Source organism: Homo sapiens, chromosome 13 (assembly GCF_000001405.40).
Source record: "Homo sapiens chromosome 13, GRCh38.p14 Primary Assembly".
NCBI classification, from domain to species: Eukaryota; Metazoa; Chordata; class Mammalia; order Primates; family Hominidae; genus Homo; species Homo sapiens.
The window spans coordinates 94,660,768-94,663,676 of record NC_000013.11 but is presented as its reverse complement, the minus strand read 5'-3'; the positions used below and the strand labels follow the sequence as shown (position 1 = coordinate 94,663,676).

At 39.1% G+C, this 2,909-nt stretch overlaps 2 annotated features.

The window, feature by feature from the left end:
• Nucleotides 490–2,079: an enhancer, noted in NCBI's record as "VISTA enhancer hs796". NCBI's record gives its function as "enhancer in: forebrain[4/5]" and the evidence as "EXISTENCE:transgenic organism evidence [ECO:0001131][PMID:17130149]".
• Nucleotides 2,408–2,909: an enhancer, noted in NCBI's record as "NANOG hESC enhancer chr13:95313022-95313523 (GRCh37/hg19 assembly coordinates)". NCBI's record gives its function as "activates a minimal SCP1, AML or CMV promoter by ChIP-STARR-seq in primed H9 embryonic stem cells {active_cell/tissue: H9 hESC(primed)}" and the evidence as "EXISTENCE:reporter gene assay evidence [ECO:0000049][PMID:30033119]".

The window sequence follows — 2,909 nt, the reverse complement described above, 5'->3', positions numbered from 1 at the left end:
GGACCTGAGTGGGGAGAAAATATTGGTTTTCCATTCAACTTTTACTTCTGGAATTTAGGGTAGAATCAAAGCTGAAAGATAATCATTTCTTTCTATATGCCTGTATTCACAGACCTACACTGCCTTAAATAACTCCACACAACTATGCACACTGTCACGTAGTCTAATTCATACACATGTACAAACACACACGTATACTCAAGCAAACCATCATAAAACTCATATATACAGATTGTAGTATCAGTAATCACTCTCTCACCATATTTAACAGGAAAAGTAACAGCAAACTCAGCAGCAGTTTTGGGGGCTCAATTTCTATTGGAAGATGACCCATTATAAGTATCAACTATATGACACCCTGTCCTGACCATGAGCCACTGGAAGGACCAATTCTGACCCATTGGTATGTTTACTGTCCATACCAGTCTGAACTTGACTAAGGGTGGAAGAGAATGGTTCTGCCATTTCAAGGTTAAGTTTCTAGAACCTTGTAGTGCCAACATACAATGCAAAGACAGTGAGTATCAGTGGTTAGACATCAGGGTACTGTGATGTCTGGGGTGAAACTAAAGACCACGATGAACGTGAAATAAAATGACAAGTATCAGAGGAAATGGGGGAAGGTACCGAAGGCAAGAGAGCAGATTTGTAGAGCTTTCAAATGAAACGTTATAATCCCTTTGACAATCCTGTTGACTATGAGCTATAGCAATAGGAGTACAACACAGAAAAAAAGATACATTGTGGGATAAACAGCTTCTTATAAGGTAAAACTGAATGGCCAAAATAGATTAATAAGGAGACACAATGGAGAGAAAAAAAGAAATGAGTCAGTGGCAATATAAGAAAAAGGTAAAAGTGAACAGAGGACAGAAAGGCAGGAAAGAAAAAAAAATGTAAATGAGTGAGACAAAAAAACCAAAAGACGAAAAAGAAAAAGAGAACAAGAGGGGGAAAGAAGTAATATTTTTTTTGATAAAAATGCACAAAAGGGAAGATGAACTTTGTTCTTTTTCTCTTTCTACTCTCCTCTCTTTTTCTGCTTTTCGCCTCGCAGCACGCCAGCCTAAGCTGAGAGCTGTAATGTCATTAAATTGCAAATGCTTTTTCATTTCCGACACACACTGTTTACTTATCTGGCAAAAACATATGTTGGAAGGAATCCGTTAAATTCTGCCCATTGCCTTGGGTAAAAGTGCAATGGAAACGGCCTCACCGAGCGTCCTCTTTCTTCTTCTTTAGCACTCCCCTTATCTACAAGACGGCTTCGCAGAAAACTGGCTAGTTCAATGAAAAATGAAGATACAGCGGGAGATTAGGGAAGAACACTGAGCACAAAATTCCTGGAGAGAGGGTCACTCCATTGCAAATGATTTCACTCCTCTAGATCTGCATAAATTACTATTTTTAAGGCATCTCCAAAGTCTGTATATTTTTCTCACTCTGTCAAACATTTAATTTCACGCCCCGTGTTCTGAATATGCTAAAATGCATATCTCTGATGCACCTTTAAGCCAGAAAAACGAATGCAAAATTGAAGATAAAATGATGTGATTTGCACTACAAGCCTATTACTTGAGGTATTTACATATAGTTTACCTCTGCAGTTCTGAGGATGATTTATTTAAAAAAATCTGGATTAAGCTCATATAAATATGTATAAATCTTTGTTTAGAAAATAGATTTTGCAGCTGTTGTGTCAAAAAAGTTCTTTAAGATTCTGTGAAGAATTTTCCTTTTAGCACGCTTTAAGAGGGGAAAAAAGGGGGACAGAATTTGACATTCTGCTTGGCGGGGAGAAAAAAGCCTATTCCACCATTCGGCAGTTATAAAGATTCCTTTTATTGCCCTTCTTTGCCCAAAGCAGCTGGTTCCTCCTTGCTCTTTTATTATACTCATTTCATTTTCTTTTTCCCCCGCTTTTTGCTTGGGACCAAATAATAGTGTCCTGGATTACAAAGCTCAAATTAAATATCAGTGTTTAATGACTGAAACAATCATGAGTTTCTGAGATGTGCCCCCAGTTCCTGCTCTCCTTTTTCCAAACAGGCTGCCTTCTGCTGCTTCCCACACACAGCCTCTGCACTGACACGGAGCCTTGGAACTGCTGAGGGAGCCGACTTCTAGCTACTGATTTGAAAATGATTATTAACGTAGGGCAAGCAAGATATCTGATCCGCTGGAGAAGCAATTCTAAAAACACTGGAGTTTTGTTTAAACAATCTCCACATGTGCATTTCAGCCCCCCTCTCATTTTTTTTTAAATCTAGAGTTTTGCCTCTTTGTCTGAAAAAAAAAAAAAATGCTTCATTTAGTCCGGCCTCTCACATCCTCCCTGATCCCCATCCCTCTGCGATTATTATGGGGGAATTACTCTTTGCTATTTTCTTGTTAGGCTTTGGGTTTAGGAGAATTTAGATAACAAAGTTGGCTAATTCAGGACTGAACACACATTGGACTCTGCAAATATACCACCCGCTACATGATAAGGGCAGGGCCCAGCTTCTGGGCTGCACCTGCTGTGATGCTGTGGGAACAGCTGCTTCTGGAAGCAGGTAGTGGGAACAGCTATTACTTCAAAGCCCACAATAATCCTTTCGCAATTAAAACAAGAAAGGGATGTTTACAGGCATTTGATCGCTTTAGGTGGAGATATGAGTTTGCTTACAAAGATTGAATTCCAGTTCTGGTGTGCTGTGCCTGCTTAAAGTTGACTAATGACGACTTAAAATAATGAAACTGCAGTCATTTTCAAAAGTTAAGTCATTCTTTTTGCACAAAATGGCTTAACGATCCCCCCTAGTGGCCTGACTCTTGTTACTATGATTTGTGAATACTCTCCTTTCCAAAACTGCCCTATTGGTTTGTTTATAGGTTCATAGCAAAGAAACTGCAGATAAAACCAAAGT